This window comes from Homo sapiens, chromosome 20 (genome assembly GCF_000001405.40).
Source record: "Homo sapiens chromosome 20, GRCh38.p14 Primary Assembly".
NCBI classification, from domain to species: Eukaryota; Metazoa; Chordata; class Mammalia; order Primates; family Hominidae; genus Homo; species Homo sapiens.
The window spans coordinates 18,565,588-18,587,482 of NC_000020.11; the positions used below are offsets into that span (position 1 = coordinate 18,565,588).

The 21,895-nt window shown below is 43.8% G+C and overlaps 1 protein-coding gene and 1 long non-coding RNA gene across 3 annotated transcripts, besides 3 other annotated features; one reads left to right on the forward strand and one right to left on the reverse strand.

Annotated features, from left to right (window-relative positions):
• Positions 1,533 to 1,632: an enhancer, noted in NCBI's record as "active region_17592". NCBI's record gives its function as "activates an Ori minimal core promoter by ATAC-STARR-seq in GM12878 lymphoblastoid cells {active_cell/tissue: GM12878}" and the evidence as "EXISTENCE:reporter gene assay evidence [ECO:0000049][PMID:35858748]".
• Positions 1,696 to 1,978: a silencer, noted in NCBI's record as "fragment chr20:18547927-18548209 (GRCh37/hg19 assembly coordinates)". NCBI's record gives its function as "represses an EF-1alpha promoter that drives an FKBP-Casp9 reporter gene in an ReSE screen in K562 erythroleukemia cells {active_cell/tissue: K562}" and the evidence as "EXISTENCE:reporter gene assay evidence [ECO:0000049][PMID:32094911]".
• On the forward strand, positions 1,845 to 4,024 carry SMIM26 (small integral membrane protein 26). 2 transcript variants are annotated; one of them, NM_001348958.2, is made up of 2 exons: positions 1,845 to 2,009; positions 3,652 to 4,024. In NM_001348958.2, exons 1-2 carry the CDS (start codon positions 1,892 to 1,894, stop codon positions 3,816 to 3,818), a joined length of 285 nt encoding a protein of 94 aa, NP_001335887.1. In that variant the 5' UTR covers positions 1,845 to 1,891; the 3' UTR covers positions 3,819 to 4,024. The 2 variants fall into 2 exon arrangements, with proteins under 2 accessions (NP_001335887.1, NP_001335886.1); NM_001348957.2 differs by having other exon boundaries at positions 3,649 to 3,973.
• A 9,987-nt stretch (positions 4,025 to 14,011) lies between these two features.
• LOC124904878 (uncharacterized) lies at positions 14,012 to 21,878 on the reverse strand. Its single transcript, XR_007067547.1, has 3 exons — positions 21,838 to 21,878; positions 18,526 to 18,657; positions 14,012 to 14,092 (listed from the first exon to the last, which is right to left on the reverse strand). It is a non-coding gene; the product is annotated as an uncharacterized LOC124904878 (long non-coding RNA).
• Positions 19,638 to 19,932: an enhancer, noted in NCBI's record as "tiled region #13138; HepG2 Activating DNase unmatched - State 8:EnhW, and K562 Activating DNase matched - State 9:DNaseU". NCBI's record gives its function as "activates a minimal TATA promoter and a strong SV40 promoter by Sharpr-MPRA in HepG2 and K562 cells {active_cell/tissue: HepG2 | K562}" and the evidence as "EXISTENCE:reporter gene assay evidence [ECO:0000049][PMID:27701403]".
• Positions 21,879 to 21,895: the final 17 nt, after the last annotated feature.

The following is a 21,895-nucleotide window of genomic DNA, read 5'->3' on the forward strand; positions in this document are numbered from 1 at the left end:
GCCAGGCTGGTCTCGATCTCCTGACTTGAGGTGACCCACCCATCTTGGCCTCCCAAAGTGCTGGGATTACAGGTGTGAGCCACCCGTACCCAGCCAGTAGTTCCTTTTTATTTGTAAGTGGTATCCCACGTTTTGTTTAGCCATTTACTCGATGGGTATTGGGGGTGGTTTCTATTTTTTCCTATTAAGAATAAAACTATGAACATTCATGTACATGGCTGTGTGCAGACACAGGTTTTCATTTCTCATGGATAACTAGAAACGGAATGCCTGGGTTATATGGTAGGCATATGTTCAACTTTTTAAAAACTAAGTTTTGCAAAGAGATTGTAACATTTTATGTTCCCATCAATAACAGTTCCAATTATTCCAAATCCTTACAGCTCTTGGCATTCTCAATCTGATTTTAGCCATTCTAGTAGGTGTGTAATGGTCTCTTATTGTATTCTTTTAATGTCCATTTCTGTGATGACTAATGATGCTACTGTGCTTATTGGTCATTTGTATATCTTCTTTCGTTCTATTCAAATTTATTGCCTGGTTTTTAGTTGGGCTGTATTTTTATAACTGAGTTGTAAAGCGTCCTCATATATTCTGGATCCAAGTCCTTTTGTTAGATATATGTTATTATGAATATTTTATTCTGTGGCTTGGCTTTTCATTTTCTCAACTGTGACCTTCAAAGAGCAAAAATTTTAATTTTTTTTTAAAAGCCCTATTTATCCATTTTCGCTTTATGCATATATATATAAAATGAGATGGGGTCTCACTATGTTGGCCTTGCTGGTCTGGAACTCTTGGGTTCAAGCAATCCTCCCTGCTCTACCTCCCAAAGTGCTGGGGTTACAGGCATGAGCCACCCCGCTTGGGATGCCTTTTTTATTCTAAGAATTCTGTGCTTATTCCAAGATGGCAAACATATTCTCCTGGTTTTTTTCTAGGCTTATATTAAATAGTTTTAGCTTTTACATTTAAGTCAGCGATCCATTCAGAGTTAAGTTTTTTATCTATTTCTGTAGGGCAGAACATCAGTTTTTAAAGGGTGGGCAAGGTGAAAAGAACCCTGAAGGATACCAGGGAAAATGATGTTTCTGAAGCCATGAAAGGTGCAGGTGGGGTCAGTGGTGGCAAATGCTTTCGAAACCAAGTTTGAGTGTGGCTGAAAAGTACTTAACGTTAATTTACCGGGCCTACCTTGTGCCAAGCACATCACACTTGCTCTTAAGTTGTTCAGTCTATTGAGGGCATCTTGCTTTAAAAAATGTATGCATAAGACAAAAGCTGGAGGTGGTCGGAGTCGAAGGAGATTTTTTGTTTTTGAGACATGGGCACGTTTGTATGAAGGATAAACGTCAATAATGAAGATGGGGGAGGACTTAGGGTGTCAATGAGGGGAAAGGCCACTGAGGCTGGAAAAAATAGTACCCAGAGCCTAGTGGAGGGATTAGCTTTGGCCTGGAAGTATTTAAAGTTCACCCAGAGTTCCGGAAAGAAAAATGGAGGAAAAGAAGAGTTGCGGGGAGAGACAAGCGGTATCCCTGCAAATCTGAAAACTGGAAGAGGAATTGGAAGTAACCTTTTCGGATACCGTCTGGAGCCCACGAAGGCATTACAATTTTGCAAGTGAGAAGCTTCTCCTCTAAGTTGTCATTTAGTCCTCGTCACGTGGTAAAAAGTATCGCACGCCCACAGTTCTACACCCGAAAGTCCGGACACCTGAGCGACTTTCCGGGCCAGAGGCCCCAAGGTGCATCGGGGCAGAGCCGGAAGCGGACGCTGAAAACTGGCGGCTCCTTAATGGTTCCGGCGGCAGGGACCGCAGCGACGCCCTCACCGGAAGTCCCGCCTCTGCCGTGGGCCTGCGAGAATCGAGGCACTCGCTGGCGTACCCATGTATCGAAATGAGTTCACGGCCTGGTACCGGCGGATGTCGGTGGTCTACGGGATCGGCACCTGGTCTGTGTTGGGCTCACTGCTTTACTATAGCCGGACAATGGCGAAGTCGTCAGGTAGGGCTCTTCGGCGGGGCCTGCCCCGGAACACACGGCCTTCGATGAGAGTTCCCCGGGGGTCATGGAAACAACTTCCCTGTCCTTTAAATCCCAGGTTTATTCTGCAAAACTAATTGAAACGGGTGCTAACAGCCGTTTGTTATAATGGAATCTGCAAAGAACTAGACTCCAGGAATTATTAATACCTTGTAAATATTGTTTCCTAAATCTGAATCATTTACTGGATAGGGCCGTCCCCATATTCAGAATTGGAGGAATCTGTGTAAAGTGCAAGGTGGACTTTCAGAGACTCTGGCCGGTGATTTTTAAAGAGTGATGCTTCAGTACTACTGTCCCTCATCGTATATGGCGAGCAATTTCAGTACTTTTAGCAGCCAAGGCGTATTAAAATCTTCCAGTTACTAAGCGCAAAGGGAGAAAAGTCTCTCAGCTTTGAAAAATATGCTGGAAATCTGTAGAGACATTAAGTTGATTAGTGTGGTTGCTAGGGGCTGAGGGGTTGGGGAGTTGGGGAATGACTGCCAAAGGTATGGATTCCTTTTGTGGATGAAAGTATTTTTAAATTGATTGTGGTGCTGGTTGCACAAATCTGAATATACTAAAAACATTAAATTGTATATTTTAAGTGGGTTAATCGTATATGTTAATTATATCTCAGTAAAGTTGTTGTGTAAAAACTATGCTGAAGATTACATTTGGTGATGAAGCTGTCAGTGGCCTGAAAGTACATGTGTCCAGCATTAAGCATTTAAAAACATTTTGGCCGGGTGCAGTGGCTCACGCCTGTAATCCCATAACTTTGGGAGGCCGAGGTGGGAGATTGCTTGAGCCCAGGGGTTCGGGACCAGCCTGGGCAACATGGGGAGACCCCCATCTCTACCAAAAGAAAAAGAAATTTTTATATATAATATTTTATATTTACTTTATATGTAATATATGGTAAAAATACTTTACATTTATATATAAAGTAAAAATATTTTAATGTCCATATTTATGTTTTCTTTCTTTCGTTCTTTTTTTTTTTCTTTTTGACAAGGTCTCACCCTGTCGCCCAGGCTTGAGTGCAGTGGCATGATCTCGGCTCACCACAACCTGCGTCTCCGGGCTCAAGTGATTCTCCTGCCTCAGCCTCCCGAGTAGCTGGGATTGCAGGCGCAGGCCACTGCTGCCCGGCGAATTGTTTTATTTTTTTTTTGAGACAGAGTCTAGCTCTGTCGCCCAGGCTGGAGTGCACTGGCGCTATCTTGGCTCACTGTAACCTCCATCTCCCAACTCAAGCAGTCCTCCTGCCTCATCCTCCCCAGTAGCTGGGGTTATAGGCCCATGCCACCACGCCCAGCTAATTTTTGTATTTTTAGTAGAGATGGGGTTTCACTACGTTGGCGAGGCTGGTCTCAAACACCTGACCTCAGGTGGTCCACCTGCCTCGGCCCCCACAAAGTGAGATTGGGATTACAGGCGTGAGCCACCGCACCCAGCTTTTCTTTTCCCTTCCTTTTCATTCCTTCCTTCATTATTGGGGTTGGAGAGAGTGGATGTAATTCTTACCTTAGTTAATTTCTAAGACTTTAATGACTGCTTTCTAAGTTAATAATTCAGGTGTTCTTTTTTTTTTTTTCTCTTAATGGTGATAAAGTAGACCAAAAGGATGGCTCAGCAAGTGAAGTACCCAGTGAACTCTCTGAACGCCCAAAAGGATTTTATGTGGAAACAGTTGTCACATATAAAGAAGATTTTGTTCCAAATACAGAAAAGATCCTCAACTATTGGAAATCATGGACTGGTGGCCCTGGTACAGAACCATGACTGGCTGCTGAATTCTGAAAACCAGGACTTGGTTCAACATTTAAATTTGATAGTTGCCCTGATTCCCATTTTGGGTTTGTGAAAAGTGTATGTATTTAAATTTGCTGTAAAACATAATCACTAATAATATGCAATAAATATTTTCTTGAAGGAAACTATCTGCGTTTTCTTTTTTTTTTTTTTTTTTGAGACGGAGTCTTGCTGTGTCACCCAGGCTGGAGTGCAGTGGCTCGATCTCGGCTCACTGCAAGCTCCGCCTCCCAGGTTCATGCCATTCTCCTGCCTCAGCCTCCCGAGTAGCTGGGACTAAAGGCGCCTGCCACCATGTCTGGCTAATTTTTTGTGTTTTCAGTGGAGACAGGGTTTCACCGTGTTAGCCAGGATGGTCTCCATCTCCTGACCTTGTGATCCGCCTGCCTCAGCCTCCCAAAGTGCTGGGATTACAGGTGTGAGCCACGGTCCCCGGCCTACTATCTGCATTTTCAAGAGGTGTTCCTCTGTATTTGCATGAGTGAAAGATTGCTGTGAAATTTCACATAGAGCTTCCATAAGCTTGATTTCCTGAAACTAGTTAATGTAGATTTATATTTCTTTCATGTTGCTATTAGGCACAGCTTTAGTGGTCGCTTTAAGGTTAGTTTCAGCAAATCTCCATATTCACTTTGGGATTCACAGTAGCCCTTTGGGTACTACTGCGTACTGGGTAAGTATGATATAAATTTGATTGTAACTTCTGAATTAAACAGACTGGACCTATTCTTTAGGACCAGTGCACATACCCCTCATTCCTTCAGCAAGTGTGGATTACCCACCAACTGTGGCCAGTGCTATTCTAATGCTGGGAATGCAGTCAGGACGACATGATTGATGCTGAACCAGTTTCCTCAGTGGTCTCTTGGTTGCAGGCAACAAACACAAGTGAGCTTAAATCAAAAGTGGGTGTTTATAAAAAACGTGTATTGGTAGCTCAGAATTAAAGCAGAGAGTATGGGCCAGGAGCGGTGGCTCACGCCTGTACTCCCTGCACTTTGGGAGGCCGAGGGGCGGATCACAAGGTCAAGAGATCGAGACCGTCTTGGCCAGCATGGTGAAACCCTGTCTCTATTAAAAATACAAAAATTAGCTGGGCATGGCACCGCGCACCTGTAGTCCCAGCTACTTGGGAGGCTGAGGCAGGAGAATCGCTTGAATCTGGGAGGCGGAGGTTGCAGTGAGCTGAGATCGCACCACTGCACTCCAGCCTGTTGACAGCGAGATTCCATCTCAAAAAAAAAAAAAAAAAGCAGTATGTTGTCTTCAGAAGGCCTGACACTGGGACCAGAATGCAGGCAGCCACTTGTTGAGCCTGCCTGGGCTCTTGGCCTTGCTTTTCTTATTGCACACCAGCTGCTTTTCTCACCTTTCTGGAGTAATACAAATATCCCAAGAAGATACTACCTCCCATGTGCAGTGCCAAAGTCTGACCAGCCTCTCCTCAACCTGGTCTTTGGCTTCCACCCTTGCGAGAGACTCAGTTCAGTTTTTATCAGATCCCTGCCTATGGATTATAGAGTACTGCCTCAGTTATGAATAAAGTGGCATTTGTTTCTCATTTAGGTAGTGTTTTCCTGTTCATAGCTGTTGGGACCCTGTGAGTAGAGATGTGATGTGTGGTAGGACAGGAATTGGGCATTTCAGGGTTCCTCTACAGTACTATGACCTTCAGACCCTCATCTTGATTTCTCATTGGTGTCAGTTCCACCATTATGGGTGGCCTGAGCAGTGCTGTGGTGCAGTCAGCCTTAGTGACAAGGATTCCAAAATCACAAGTAACAGCTCCAGATGCTGGTAGCAGAGACTCAGCTTCCCAAGGGATATCAGGTCAAGCATGGATTCGTGCCAATTGGCTGTGTATTCCAGTGGACCATCTTGGTTGGCATCAAACTGATGAATGAGAAGCAGTGTACGACAGTAGATGGGGAAGGTGAGAAGCAAGTGAATCAGAAGTATGGGAGAAATGGGAACAGTAGCATGAACGTTTTGGAAGACATTTCCTAACATGAGGGCTTCCAGAGAAACAAAGGGCAAGGGCTGAGGGGCTGTGGCACTTGGCAGGTGAGAGTTGTTAATAGAGCACACCGAGGATAAACAGCTGAACTTCTACTCTCACCTGGCAGTCTACCCAGGATTCATACACTTGTGGGGCTTAAGGGGACATTTGGGTTAGCTTTCCTTGGGACTTGGCTGGGTTTCTTTGCTAGATCTAATTTATTCTCTTATTTCAGCCCAGCGTTCTCCTGAACTCAAGATCCATGTCCATCTAGCATTGCCACTTGGATATCTAGCCACCTCAGCTTTGTCCATAACTTAAATTGCTGTCATCACCCACAAGGCTGCTCTTCCTTCCGTTCTCTTTCTCAGAGAGTACTCAGTTCCTCAAATTAGGAACCTATCATTCTAGACTTCTCCCTCTTCTTGTTCCTTCTCCTTCCTCCAGCCACCAGGTCCCATCATTTCTACTGCAAATATTCCACTCCATTCCCACCTTCCCATTCCCTTTACCACTACCTTACTTAAATCCTCCATCCTCTTTGCTTATGTAGCCTCAACTTCCTACTCTCTTTGTCTCTACTTGGAGTCCCCTCCAATTGGTTTCTACAGTATTAGCCAGCATGACTTTTTTGAAATTAATTTTTATATTTTTAACAAAGCAACAAATGCATTAAAAAATTAAATAATGATCAAAAGTTTGTAACCAAAAAAACAGTTCCTGCTTTATCCCTCCTTGCTTTCAACTATTAGGTTTTTTTTTTTTTTTTTTTGGTATTTACGTCCACATTTCTAAATAATAAGCTTTTACTAATATCTTTAATTTATCAATCATGTATGGGATTTATTAATGAGGATTTGATCCTCCTTTCCAACTGACTAACCAATAAAACTATTGCATATTTTTGATGAATCAATAATTAATATTTACCCTGTTTTAACTATGCAAACATAGTTTGTTGATAAGCCAAGTAAGTGAGCTATAATTGTTTCTCATATAACTTTTCTTTCTGGAGTTAACTGCACTCTTTTTTTCATTTGCTTTGTTTTCTTGATGTTTCTCTCTCATTCTTTCCACATCCTCTAACCTCACAATATAATTTTCCACACAAACCTTTCCAGTTTCTCTTTTCTGTTTTTAAATCTTGGAGCTCTTTGTCTTCTTGGTACAATCTGGACTGATCACTCTAGTTCTGCTTTGCATCCATTTTTCTTTGCTATTTGCTTTGCCATCCTATAATGGATCTCTGTTTTCTCGATACTGTGTCCCCATAATTCTGAAAAAGGGTATATAATTTTTTGGTGATTTTTCATGTCTGAACATGTCTTTTTTTTTTTGAGACAGTTTCGCTCTGTCACCGAGGCTGGAGTGCAGTGGTGCGATCTCGGCTCACTGCAACCTCCGCTTCCCAAGTTCAAGCAATTCTCATGCCTGAGCCTCCCGAGTAGCTGGGACTACAGGCCTGCGCCATCACACCCAGCTAATTTTGCATTTTTAGTAGAGATGGGGTTTCGCCATATTGGCCAGGCTGGTCTCAAACTCCTGGCCTCAAGTGATCCGCCTGCCTCCACCTCCCAAAGTGCTGGGATTATGGGCATGAGCCAGTGTACCCGACCAGAACATGTCTTTTTCGTATTCTCATACTCAATTACTAGTTGGCCTGGGTACAGAACCCCAGGTTTGATCATTACTTTCCCTCAGAATTTTGAAAGCATCAGTCCCCTGTATTCTAGCAATTCCAATATTTCAGCTGAGAAGTCCTAATCTTTGATTATTACCTGTTTTCTTCTCTCCAGAAGGTCTTAGGACCTCCTTCATCTCTAGTGTTCTGAAATTTTTACAATGATGCACCTAGTGTGGCTTAAAAAAATTGACTAGGCTGATCACTCAGTGGGTTCTTAGTTCATGGAAACTCTTGTTTTGTTCTGGGGAATTTTCTTATTTTTTAGGAATTCCGTTTGCCTTTTAATTTTTTTTCTCTGTGTCTGGAATTCCTAATAGACATTCCAGACTACTTTTTATTATTTTATACTTTTTCTTAACTACTGTTGATCTCTTTGTTTATTTTCTACTTTTCAGGGAGAGGGTCATTCATTTACTTATACACTTGTGAAGGCGGCAAAATTTTACCTATACTTTTTAGGGTTTGTGGCTGGGCCTGAGAATTAAATTGACATAAAACAGATTAGCCAAAGTAAAGTGTACAGATTCTTACATGCACTTGGGAGCCCCCATAGAAAAATGGAGACCCAAAGTGGCAAAACCTAACTGGTTATATACTGAGTTAAACAAAAAGAGGCAATTATGGAAAAGGAACTAAAATGTACAGGAAACCAGAGGAGGATAAGAGTTATTTAAACAAGGCCTGTTTGTATAGAATTATCTCGACCTTGACTCTCCATCTCTGGTGATAAGAATGGTTCTTTCCTCCTGGTATAGGGAGGGCATCTTCCACATGGCAGTTTTATCTCTTGCTTGCTTTTTTTTTTTTTTTTTTTTTTTTTGGAGACAGAGTCTTGCTCTGTCGCGCAGGCTGGAGTGCAGTGGCATGATCTCAGTTCCCTGCAACCCCCGCATCCTGAGTTTAAGCAATTCTCCTGTCTCAGCCTTCTGAGTAGCTGGGATTATAGGCACACACCACCACACCCAGCTAAATTTTGTATTTTTAGTAGAGACGGGGTTTCACTATGTTGGCCAGGCTGGTCTCAAACTCCTGACCTCAGGTGATCCACCCGCCTCTGCCTCCCAAAGTGCTGGGATTACAGGCGTGAGCCACCGCGTCCGGCCTATCTCCTCTTCAAAAAGAAAAGAGGAGGTCAGATCACCCTTCCTGCACCTGCTATTTTTCAAGTGTCTTTAGCTCGAAATAAATTTTATGCCAAAGTGGCATATTTTTTGGTGGTGTATCCCACCATCCTTCACATTCAACAGATAGCTACTGAGCCCCTACCTTGGGTGTGGAGGACAAAGCAAATCCATCTTGGACGCTGATCTGCCATGTTGGATTCTGATTAACCCTTGTTCCATGAAGGCCTCTAAGATTTGCAGCTTATCTATTGTTCCTTGTGTAAGAGCATGTCCTTACAGTCAATCCTGCCCTTAGATCCAACAACCTTGATGTTATTGTACTTCAGTTGTCCCACATATCCCTGCTGAACCACCCTTCCCTAGAGTATAAAAGCCCTGGGTCTGCGGGGTGATGGCTCAGGGATCCGCCATCTTGCCTGGCAGCCACCCAAGACACAGACACGGCTTCTGTTCCTACGTCCCTATTAAGTGTTTCTTTCTAAGAAACCAGATTTGTCAGCCTCCTTTTTGGCCTCTCGGCTTCCTTAGACTTTGGGGCCAGTTTGTATAGCCCTGCCTACCATGGGATGCTGGGCCAGCATTGCTCTGTGTGCTGAGTACTATATAAACAAGGCCCTCAAGCAGTTCTATCTTCCAGCGGAGAAACAGACAACAAAAACTAAGCAAATACATTATGTCTTATATAATACAACTTTTTTTTTTTTTTTTTTTTTTGAGATGGGGTTTTGCTATATTGCCCAGGCTGGTCTCGAACTTCTAGGCTCAAGTGAACCTCCCACTTCAGCCTCCTGAGTAGCTGGAGCTACTGGTGTGCACCACTGTGCCTGGCTGTAATCCAACTTTTTAATTGCATTTTAATATTGGCTATTATAGAAAGCTCTTGTAAATTAGTTCCTTTTTATGGTATCCTATTCATTGATGAATACAACATTTTCTGATGGCTGGAGGTATTCTAAGTTGTTTTACTATTTATTCTTGCACTGCTATAAGTTCCTTTACATGACTTGTTTTTGTCTCTCTCAAGTTGGAGGCATTTGTCTCATGTCCCTTCTTATTGTACAGGCATTGATTTAAGAACCTTTCACGAACCTTCTGCAGCTTGAGGATGGGGGTAGGTGTTTGTTAAGTTATGACTGGCTTTTTACTGGTGGTTGGTGTTGAAGTTAGGATTCTTAGCTACACACCACAGAACTGGAGCCAGTTCATGCTGAAAAGGAACCTTGCAAAGGATATTGGGAAACTCCCAGAATTAGGGGGATCATTGGGGAAACATAGTTACAGACAGCGCAGCCAGGAATGGCACCCCAAGTATCCTGCCAGACCACCACCAGGTACAGGCACTGTGGGGTCATGCTGACAAAATAGGCTGTTCCTGCCGGGCCCCTGCCTCCAGTACCTCTGAGAGCAGGGAGTTTCTGAAGACCCCACATCAGAATGGCTTCCCGGAGCAGCCTGCTTATCGTCACTCGTCTCCGAATCTAGTTTCACATGGGGATGCCTAACTCAGGGTGTGTTGGTCACACTCCTGGGCCTTAGCTGCAATTAAGTCTGGGAAAGAATTTCTGGCTTCTACTGTGGGGATATATGGAGTTTTAAGGTAAGAAGTTCCCCAAATATAGGATGTTCACAAAATGCTGGAAAGACAAATACCATGACAAATGTCCACTAGAGACAGCAAGGCAGATATTTTTAGTGGGAGGTACTGACATGCCAGCATCTGTCAATCAGTTCCCAGGAGAAGGGTCCTCTCTCCAGTCTCCCACAGGGATCGAGGGTAGATGCCTGGCTGTAGGAATCCTGGGAACTAGACTGGGGAGGGGTTTGGAGATGGTTGTTTAGAATAAGGGTTTCCATTGAATCCGGGGCCACATCCCCCTCCTCTGCTCTGGCCAGAGCAGAAACTTCAGGTTTCCTGAGTGAAGTGCAGGAAGTTGGGGTGGGTACCTGGGGGTCCAAGTGTTGCTTCTGCAGACTCAAACATCTCTCTGCGTCCAGCCCACCCTTCACCCTGCCTCCACCCACCTGGAATTTTGGTATGTGTTATGTAGAGTGTGTCTATATTTTAAAATCCCCAATAAAAAAACTTAAATTTTGAGTCTCTGTTGAGCTACCCTGGTAGGCCACACTTGAAAAGTGTTGTCAGGCTGGGTGTGGTGGCTCACGCTTGTAATCCCAGCACTTTGGGAGGCCAAGGCAGGTGGATCACTTGAGGTCAGGAGTTCGAGACCAGCCTGCCAACATGGTGAAACCCCTTCTCTACTAAAAATACAAAAATTAGCTGGGCATGGTGGTGCATGCCTGTAATCTCAGCTACTTGGGAGGCTGAGGCAGGAGAATCACTTGAACCCAGGAAGCAGAGGTTGCAGTGAGCTGACAGAGTGAGACTCCATCTCAAAAAAAAAAAAATAAATCAATGCTAGAGGAAAAGAATGTGTCCCTTCCCATAGGAAGAGGGCTTTGGAAGCCTGTGCCTGTTTTCCTTCAGACTTTGCCCCGTGCACTTCTTGTCTTTGCTGATTTTGTTTTGTATCCTTTTGCTGTAATAAACCACCAACGTGACAATAACTATATGCTGAACCCTGTGAGTCCTCCCAGCAAATCACTGAACCTGGGGGTAGTCTTGGGGACCCTGGACATGCTATGCAGGCAAAGGCTACCCAGCTATGGAAGGAATACTATTATAGTCCCACTCTATTATAGTCCCACTCTATATCTGTGACATATAGAGGCTCAGGATTGTCAAGTATACTTTTCAAAAGTTAAAAACATGAGTCAAATACAAGAATGAGCAAATGTCAAATATTTGTTCAAGTCATAAATGAGAAAACCAGCAGCACGGTAAAGCTGATTCAAAGAAGAAGAAAGGACCAGAGGTTATTTAGGCACTGGAGAAAAAAGAGTTAGAATAAGATTTCTGGTTAATGTTCTAGCGGGGATAAAGCCCTAAATTTTGGGTTATTATTTTTTAATGGACAGAAATTATTTTTATTTTTATCCAACAAAAGTTTACAAGTTAACATGAACCTTCACAAAATCCAAGCCTTTAATTAAAAGTAGGTGACGGTGCCTGGCTAACACAGTGAGACCCCGTCTCTACAAAAAATTAAAAAATCAGTGGGGTGCAGTGGTGCGTACCCGTAGTCCCAGCTACTTAGGAGACTAAGGTGGGAGATTGCTTGAGCCTGGGAATTCAAGGCTACAGTGAACAATGATCACACCACTGTACTCCAGCCTGGGTGACAGAGCAAGACCCTGCCTCAAAAAAAAAAAAAAAAAATGTTGGCCAGGTGCTCTGGCTCACGCTTGTAATCCCAGCACTTTGGGAGGCCGAGGTGGGCTGATCACTTGAGGTCAGGAGTTTGAGACCAACCTGGCCAACATGGCAAAACCACGTCTTTACTAAAAATACAAATGTTAGCCGGGCATGGTGGAACGTAATCCCAGCTACTTGGGAGGCCGAGGCAGGAGGAACACTTGCACCCAGGAAGCGGAGGTTGCAGTGAGCTGAGATCACGCCACTGCACTCCAGACTGGGAAACAGATCGAGACTCCGTCTCAAAAAAAAAAGTAGATGATGAGTCAAACAAAGGTACCCTAATTAATTAAATATCCTAATTAATTAAATAATTCTTGAGTGAGCCCATTAAACACAGTGCCCCAAGATGACATTGAAAGAACTCACTACGTTTTTTGCTTTAGATTCCAAGTTTCCGATTTTTTCCCGTAACAGTATCCTGATGGAATTTGGTCATTGGAGGTCCCAGGACTCGGTTGGTTGCTCAGTGGCCGGGCCTGCCCTGTAGTTGCTGCCTCACCAAACACTGTAGGTGAATCAAAGTAACATCCAAGGTGAGGAGGTATTTTGAGTGCATTTTCTGGCAGGACACGTGTAGTTGGGGACCAGGCACGTGGAGTTCACAGAGACTTTCTGGTGATTTCAAATCAGAGGACCATCTGGCCCTGTTTTTGTATTTTTCCATCTCAGATCCAGCATACTTCAAAGCAAACATGAGACTCTCCTGGACTAATCCATTTTCAGAGAAGAAAATCACTCCCCAATTTGTATGCTGATGGATTAGAGAAAAATGTTGAAATGGCTGATGTCAAAGAAGTGATGGAGTTAAGGTGCTCCTAGCAACAGAAACTCACCCTGATGGAATGAAAACCATGCTTTTTAGGGTGCTGTGCTCCCACGGGTTCTAGCACACACAGCACTGGGCTTTCAACCCTCTGGGGAGCTCTGCTTTAACTGCCTGAATTAGACTTTTAAGATTAATTATATGACCTATCATCATTTCCAAAATGACAGACATGGCCCAATCATATCTGTGTGGTTGTGAAAATATACTTAGATTGTTTGCTGCAAGATTGTTTTTTGAGTGCTCCTGTGTTATATTTACTCCTCACTGCAATCATGAAGACAAGATATTATCCGCACTTAACAGATAAGAAGACTGAAGCTGAATCAGGCTAAGTCACATTTCCTAAGGTCATATAGAAAGTGGCAGAGCTAGCACAGAAGCCGTGGTTTTTCTGGCACCAAAGTCTAAGCTTTTGGCACCATATGAACTTCCTCTCATAAAGCAAAGAAACGGAGGTATTGACTATACGTTTTGAAAAGAAACACGGAAGACTTTTTACTTTTCTAAAATCCAAATGCCAGAGTGCTCCAGTTACCAGGATGTTTCATGCTTTCGTGAGAGCCAGAGAACAAGTCAGAAACTACCATCAGGGCTCTATTAAGAACAAAAGTGAAGTGGATTTAGGGTAAGTAGCAGTTTGGCCACACATTGTACCCACTGGCTTTATGTATTTGCTATCTAATGGAGTGGTGGTAGATGACTTGGGATACAGCAGCGTCTTGTATCATCAAAGAAAGGTTGAATACACAAAGGGAACTTTAGTATTAAATATATTTTATTCTAGTGGCAAAGGAAAAAGCTATATCCAGATATTAGTATTGTTTCTGTTTTTTTTTTTTTTTTTTTTTTTTTTTTTGAGATGGAGTCTCTCTCTGTTGCCCAGGCTGGAGAGTGCAGTGGTGTGATCTTGCCTCTGCAACCTCCGCCTTCTGGGGTTCAAGCGATTCTCCTGCCTCAGCCTCCCAAATAGCTGGGATTAGAGGCATGCGCACCACACCTGGCTAATATTTGTATTTTTAGTAGAGATGGGGTTTCACCATGTTGGCCAGGCTGGTCTCAAGTTCCTGACCTCAAGTGATCCTCCCGCCTCGGCCTCCCAAAGTGCTGGGATTACAGGCGTGAGACACTGTGCCTGGCTCAGATATTAGTATTAAACAGATGATGTCTCCCATAGTACAACTAATTCAGAAGCAGGAACACAAGCTAGGCAGTTCAATTTTTTCACTCTTTCTTCCTTCACTTATTCATTCACATATTCATATCACGTCTATGGAGTACCTTCAATAGTCATCACCCTGTAGGAACAGGAAAATAATTATTAGATTCATAATTCATAGGGACTGTGTAAATAGTTATTCATGTCAGATTTATATTAGGTCAATAATATTTTCTATTTAAAATGATTGCGGCTGGGCACAGTGGCGCACACCTGTAATCCCAGCACTTTGGGAGGGCAAGGGGGGTGGATGGCTGGAGCTCAGGAATTAAAGGCCTGCCTGGGAAAAATGGTGAAGCCCTGTCTCTACCAAAAATACAAAAAACGTAGCTGGTCATGGTGGTGCATGTCTGTTGTCCCAGCTACTTGAGAGGCTGAGGTGGGAGAATCTCTTGAACCCAGGAGTCAGAGGCAGCAGTGAGCTGAGATCATGACACTGAACTCCAGCTGAGGCAACGGAGTGAAACCAGGTCTCAAAATAAAATAAAATGACTGGAAAAAGTTACTTCATTAGCATGGCAAATACTTCCACAGGAGTATTTACCCAAGTCTGAGGCCTCATTGAATCATGGCCCAGCTTCTTTCTCAGGGAGTGGGGCCCTGTTTCTAAGGGAGTCTGAGCAAGAGCGCTGAGTGCAGTCATGGACATGTCCGTCCCTTTCTGATGTCCCTTTCCCCCATGAGCCATCTCGGACCACTCAGATGAATGATGGATGGTAGAACAACAAAGCAGAAATAATTCAGTTCTGTGGCCTGTGGAGTACCATCCTAGCCCAGGAATTTATGAGAGAAAGAATCAACTTCTATGTAGTTTAAGCCATTGTTACTTGAGTCTGTTACAGTTTCTGTTGCTGTAAGCACATTACACCTCCTCCTTAATTTATTTTTAAAAAGCAAACCTGGCTAGGCATGGTGGCTCATGCCTGTAATCCGAGCACTTTGGGAGGCTGAGGTGGGTGGATCATCTGAGGTCAGGAGTTTGAGACCAGCCTGGCCAACATGGCGAAACCACGTATCTACTAAAAATACAAAAATAAGCCAGGCGTGATGGCGCACGCCTGTATCCCAGCTACTCAGGAGGCTGAGGCAGGAGAATCGCTTGAACTGGGGAGGTGGAGGTTGCAGTGAGCTGAGATCAAACCACTGCACTCCAGCCTGGGAGACAGAGTGAGGCTCCGTCTCAACAACAACAACAAAAAAAGTGAACCTATCTTTCCATGGCAGAAGAATCACCTGCGTTTTCTGAGCATCCATGCCTTTTGAAGAAGAGTATGTATCTGCTTGTTCACTAACGGCGTTATGTCTCTCAAATGAGAAAGTTCTTTGTGTATGCTCAAGCACTTCACTTGCACATGCCATTGTTCTTAGGAGTAAAGTATGTTTTAGACATTCCTGAAAGCCAGATGTGCAATACCTTCTTTCTTTCTTTTTTTGTCTGTGGACACTAGATTTTGCTATGTTGCCCAGGGTGGTCTCAAACCCCTGGGCTCAAATAATCCTCCTGCTTCAGCCTCCTAAAGTGCTGGGATTACAAGTGTGAGGCACCATGGCTGGCCTCCTTCTTTCTTATAAATCCAGTCTTCTGTAGTCCTCCATCTGTGTTGCTTTCTTCACTATGGTAACCCAGGCAATTACTCTTCCCATCAATACTTGCCTGTCCTTTGAAAGTAGGAATATATATCTATATATCTATATCTATATATATATATATATTTTTTTTTTTTTTTAATAGTGACAGGGTCTTGCTCTGTGACCCAGGCATTATAGCTCACTGTAGCCTTGAACTCCTGGGCTCAAGCGATCCTCTGCCTCATCCTCCTGAGTAGCTGGAGCTACAGGCACACACACCCATGCCTGGCTAACTTTAAATTTTTTTTGTAGAGACAGTCTTGTCATTTTGCCCAGACCAGTCTCGAACTCCTGGCTTCAAGTGATCCTCCCGCCTCAGCCTCCCAAAGTGCTGGGATTACAGATGTGAACCACTGCACCTGGCCTACATTGGTGTTAACATACTTCAGCAGGCCAGTTTAGCAGTGTGTATCAAAAAGGAAAATGGGCACAACCTTTCACCCAGCAATCCCACTTTCAAGAACTTAAAGAGATAAATGAAGAGCTGTAGGCAGAAGGTTCTTCATTGTAACTTGTTCAAAATGACACCGAACTGAAATCAACCTTTTGAGAGACACTCCCGGCTGTCTTCCCAACATCCACTTCCCCCATTCCTGCTTTATAACAGACCCCTCAATCCACCCCACCATGTGCTTCAGGGGGACTAGCCTAGCTCCAGAGGGCAAGTCCTGATTGGTCCATGTCAGTATTTCTCAAAGATGGCACTGCTGGCATTGTGGACAGGATGATCCATTCTGTAGGCTGCCCCAGGTGTTGCAAGAGCTTGAGAATTTCAAGTCCCCTGGACACTGAATGCTACCAACAGCCTCCCAGGTCCAGATTTTCCTCCGTACACACATCTCGTGCACCCTGGAGAACTGTCTCCCCTGCAGGTGAGAACCTCTTGTCTGAGCCAGTCTTGGGTGAGAGTATGCCCCGTCTCCCTTACCAGTAATTCGCATAAGCATGGTGGTGTGACCTCATCCTGGCGAGTTAAGTAGGAGGGCCTCTGAGCAAGATATCCTAGCTTCAGTGGAAGGGCCAGGAAGAGATGGTCTGCTGTTCATCAGGACATTGTGTCTGGGTGGGGTGCCTAGAACAGCCACAGCCATCTCTCAGGCTTGTGGGGTGCCCGAGAAAAGCCAACATGCTGGGGTGACAGAGCAGAAAGAGGGAAAGAACTGGGTTCCTGATCTTGGTTAACTTTGGAGCTGCCTTGTCAGGTCAAATATATTTCTTCTTTCTCTTTTTCCTTTTTTTCTTCTCGTGGCACAAAGCACACAACATACAATTTACCATGTTAACCATTTTATGTGTGCAGTTCAGTAGTGTGAAGCATATTGACATTGTTGTGAAACAGATCTCCAGACCTTTTTAATCTTGCAAATCTGAAATTCTGTACCCATCAAACAACAATTCCCTTTCTCCACCCCCCAGCCGCTAGTAACCACCATTCATCTTTCTGTTTCTGTGAATTTGACTACTTCAGATATCTCATGTAAGTGGAATCATACAGTATTTGCCTTTTTTTGTGACTGACTTATTTCAAGTAGCATAGTGTCCTTAAGATTCATCCATATTGTAGCATTTGACAAGATTTCCTTCTTATTAAGGCTGGATAATATTCCACTGTATGGATATACTATATTTGTTTATCCATTCATTTGTCAACAGGCATTTGAGTTGCCTCCACCTCTTAATCATTACGAATAGTGCAGCTTTGAACATGGATGTTCAAATATTCTTTGAGAACCTACTTTCAATTCTTTTGCACATATACTCAGCAGTAGGATTGCTGGATTATATGGTTGCTGGGTTATTACTTCTATTTTTTATTTTTTGAGAAACCTCCATATTGTTTTCTATAGCAGCTGCACCATTTTACAGTCCTATCAATAGTGCACAAGGAGGGCTGGGCATGGTGGCTCACATCTGTAATCCCAGCACTTTGGGAGGCCGAGGTGGGTGGATCACAAGGTCAGGAGTTTGAGACCAGCCTGACCAACATGGTGAAACCCTGTCACTACTAAAAATACAAAAATTAGCCGGATGTGGTGGCGCGCGCCTGTAATTTCAGCTACTCAGCAGGCTGAGGCAGGAGAATCGCTTGAACCTGGGAGGCGGAGGTTGCAGTGAGCCAAGATTGTGCCGCTGCACTCCAGCCTGGGTGACAGAGCGAGACTCCATCTAAAAAAAAAAAAAAAAAAGTGCACAAAGGTTCCAATGAAATAACACATTTCTTTTTTTGAAATGGAGTCTCACTCTGTTGCTCAGGCTGGAGTGCAGTGGCATGATCTCGGCTCACTGCAAACTCCGCCTCCTGGGTTCACGCCATTCTCCTGCCTTAGCAGGGCATGGTGGCAGGCGCCTGTAGGCCCAGCTACTCGGAAATAACACATTTCTTAAAAGTTTGAGCCATTTTGAGTTCCATGCAACGAAAAAACATCCCAACTGATCCAGACCTAAATATTCGTCAATAGAAAAAATTGTTTAGGGGAATTACAATGCATATATTAGCTCTTAGCATCTGCACATCTATTAATAGAGAAATACTGTAAATCCATGATACACTGTTAAGCCAAAAAATTGGCTTCTCACACTTATTCCTTTGGCAATATTACCTGAGCCCCAGGTACTGTGTTAGATGCTGAGGATTCAGTGGTAAGCATGAGAGACACAGGTAGAAGAACACAGCTTACCAGGCAAATAGACTCATTGAAAGTAGCCAGAAGATTATGAGAGAAAACCCACAGGACAAACATGAGAAAAACAGGGAGCAGGAACACCTACTTTTCTTGGTGTGGACAGAGAAGGTCTATCTGAGGAGGTGGCATTGAAGCTGAATACCTAAAGGCAGGAGAGGAGTGTGTTGTACAAAGAGTGAATGAATGTAGAGGAACCTACCTGTTCCAGGTGGAGCAAGAGCAGATCCTAAAGTCCTGAGCTAGCAACCAAAGACTATTTGAGGAATTTAAAGGTGGTCAGAGTCTGGATTGTTAAGACTTTATATTCTAAGAGCATCACTTTCATCTGTGCCTGGAGAATGGATTGGAGAAGGACAAAGGGGAGGTAGGAAGACCAGTGAGGAAGGTGTGGTAGAAATCCAAGTGGGAAAGAATGGTGGAGCAGGATGCTGCAGGAGGGATGGAGAGAAGAGGGCACTTTGGGATAGGTTTTGGAGAGGGAGAAGATTTGCTGATGGACGAGATACTTAGGGAATGGGGAAGAGAGCAATCACAGGTTACTTCTGGCTCCAGTAAACAAGTGGAGCCACTTATTTAAGTGGGGATTTTCCAGGTGCGATGGCCCATGCCTGTAATCCCAGCACTTTGGGAGGCCACGGCAGGCGGATTACTTGAGGTGAGGAGTTTGAGAACAGCCTGGCCAACATGGTGAAACCCCATCTCTACTAAAAATACAAAAATTAGCTGGGCATGGTGGCAGCACCTGTAATCCCAGCTACTCAGAAGTCTGAGGCAGGAGAATCACTTGAGCCTGGAAGGTGGAGGTTGCAGTGAGCCAGAACGAGCCATTGCACTCCAGCCTGGGTGACAGAGCGAGACTCTGTCTCCAAAAAAAAAAAAAAAAAAAAAGGTATGACTCTTATGGTGGAGTATGAAGGGCTTCGGGGTTCATTGAACACCAACTGGTGAATTGCAGTTCAACTCTGGCAGGAATCACCTGGAGTTAGAACAGATCCTGCAAGTTTAAGGGTACGTTTCCCAAAAAGATTGCCCCTATTTCAGGTGCCAACCACACTTGGGTGTCCCCAAACCACTTGCACTTCAGACCAACTGGCTACACAGTCAGGAGTATCCATGACTCCCTAGGGTTGATAATGCACTAGAATCACTCATGGAACTGAGGAAAGTGCTGTAATTATCATTTATAGTTTTATTATAAATAATACAAATTAGGACCAGTCAAATGAGATATGTTAGGCAAGGTCTGCGAGAGTACCAAACACAGAGCCTCTGTGCTTTCTCCCTGCGGAATCAGGGCCATTACCCTCCCAGCACATCAATGTGTTCAGCAACCAGGAAGCTCAATGAAGCTTCAATGTCCAGAGTCTTTCCTGGGATTTCATCATGTAAGCATGACTGATTGAATCATTGGCCACAGGTTGAACTCAATCTCTGTCTTCTACCCCTCCCACAGGTTGGGCTGGCTCAGACATCCAGTCACTATTGGTCTTTCCAGTGACCAGCTCCCAATCTGAATTGTCTTGTTAGTAAACTCAGGAATAATCAAGGAGCTCATGAATAACAAAGATACTCCTGTCTCTTGAGAAATTCCAAGAATTTTTAAAGCTCCATGCCAGAAACCCAGAATTAACAAAGGCCAAAGTCTTTATTGTACCATAGGGGTGAACATTTTGAATTCCATTTTAAGTATGTTAACTTTTTTTTTTTTTTTTGAGACACAGGTTTACTTTGTCACCCAGGCTGGAGTGCAGTGGCAGTGATCCTGGCTCACTGCAACCTCCGCCTCTCGGTTTCAAGTGATTCCTGTGCCTCAGCCTCCCAAGTAGCTGGGATTATAGGTGCCCACCATCACGCCTGGCTAATTTTTGTATTTTTAGTAGAGATGGGGTTTCACCATGTTGGCCAGGCTGGTCTTGAACTCCTGACCTCAAGTGATCCACCTGCCTCAGCCTCCCAAAGTGCTGGAATTACAGGCGTGAACCACCACGACCAGCCCAATTTTCCCTTTTTTAGTCTTATTCTTTCAGGAGTGCACAATGGAGTTTTCCAGGGGCTCCGTGACATATAGTGACTTCATTGCTCTGATATTCATATGTAGGGGATTTATTATTGCTATTTTTAAATGCATTGATAAATCCATGTTAACTATTTCTCTTAGTTAAAAACAGTAAACATTTTTAGATATAATCCACCTAAACAAAAGCTATACTTTGTGCCCAATAATTTTTAAGAATGTAAAGGGATCCTGTGATCAAAATATTGAGACCTGCTGATTTTTCAAAAACTCAAATTTTACCAGTTGTTCCAATAATAAGCTTTTCCTTTTCTTGATTTTTCTGGCCAGGATACCACCCAGGTTAATTTAGTTTTCCTGTCTTTTTTTTTTTTTTTTTTTTTTTTGAGACAGAGTCTTGCTTTGTCACCCAGGCTGGAGTGCAGTGGCACGATATCGGCTCACCGTAACCTCCGCCTCCCGGGTTCAAGCAATTTTCTTGCCTCAGCCTCCCGAGTAGCTGGGATTACAGGCATGCGCTGCCATGCCTGGCTAATTTTTGTATTTTTAGTAGAGACGGGGTTTCACCATGTTGGCCAGGCAGGCCTCGAACTCCTGACCTCCAATGATCCGCCCACCTTGACCTCCCAAAGTGCTGGGATTACAGGTAGTTTTCCTGTCTTTTAAAAAGTCCACGGCTGGGCGCAGTGGCTCATGCCTGTAATCCCAGCACTTTGGGAGGCCAAAGCGGGCAGATCACCTGAGGTCGGGAGTTCGAGACCAGCCTGACCAACATGGAGAAATCTCATCTTTAATAAAAATACAAAATTAGCCGGGCGTGGCGGCGCATGCTTGTAATCCCAGCTACTCAGGAGGTTGAGGCAGAAGAATTGCTTGAACCCAGGAGGCAGAAGTTGTGGATAGCCAAGATCACACCATTGCACTTCAGCCTGGGCCACAAGAGCAAAACTGCATCTCAAAAAAAAAAAAAAAAAAAATCCTCCTTAATTCTCGGAATCCTACCTGGTTATTTTGTAGAATGTTCCTCAATTTATTTTTGTCCTATGTTTCATCATGATTGGATTCAGGTTATACATTATTTGGCAGAAATACCACAAGATTGATGTTGTGTCCTTCCCAGTGCAATATCAGGAGGCACATGATGTCTTGTTACTGGTTATGTTAACTTTGACAACGTTATTAAGGCAATTTAGTATTCAGTATTTAACAAACAAGCACACTAGTTTGTAGTCTTTTCTGGGCAAGTGAGGGTTTCTTCTCAATTTCAGTGCCTTTTCTACGCCCACCAATGCTATTAGTCACCTTTAAGGTGAAGACTGCTGAGATGGAATTATTTTTAGCAATGATAATAATTTGTTGGGGTAATAGTTGTACAGCCCTTTGCTGCCATCTAAGCACTTTTACGTGGTTTGGTTCATTTAAATCTAACAACCCAGTGAGGGGGCCAATTAGTAGCATTTATATTACATGAGAAATTAGAATTCTAGAATCACATACCTATTTATTATCATGACATGGCTAAGTCGAATTAATAGTGAGATAGGTAAATGGCTAT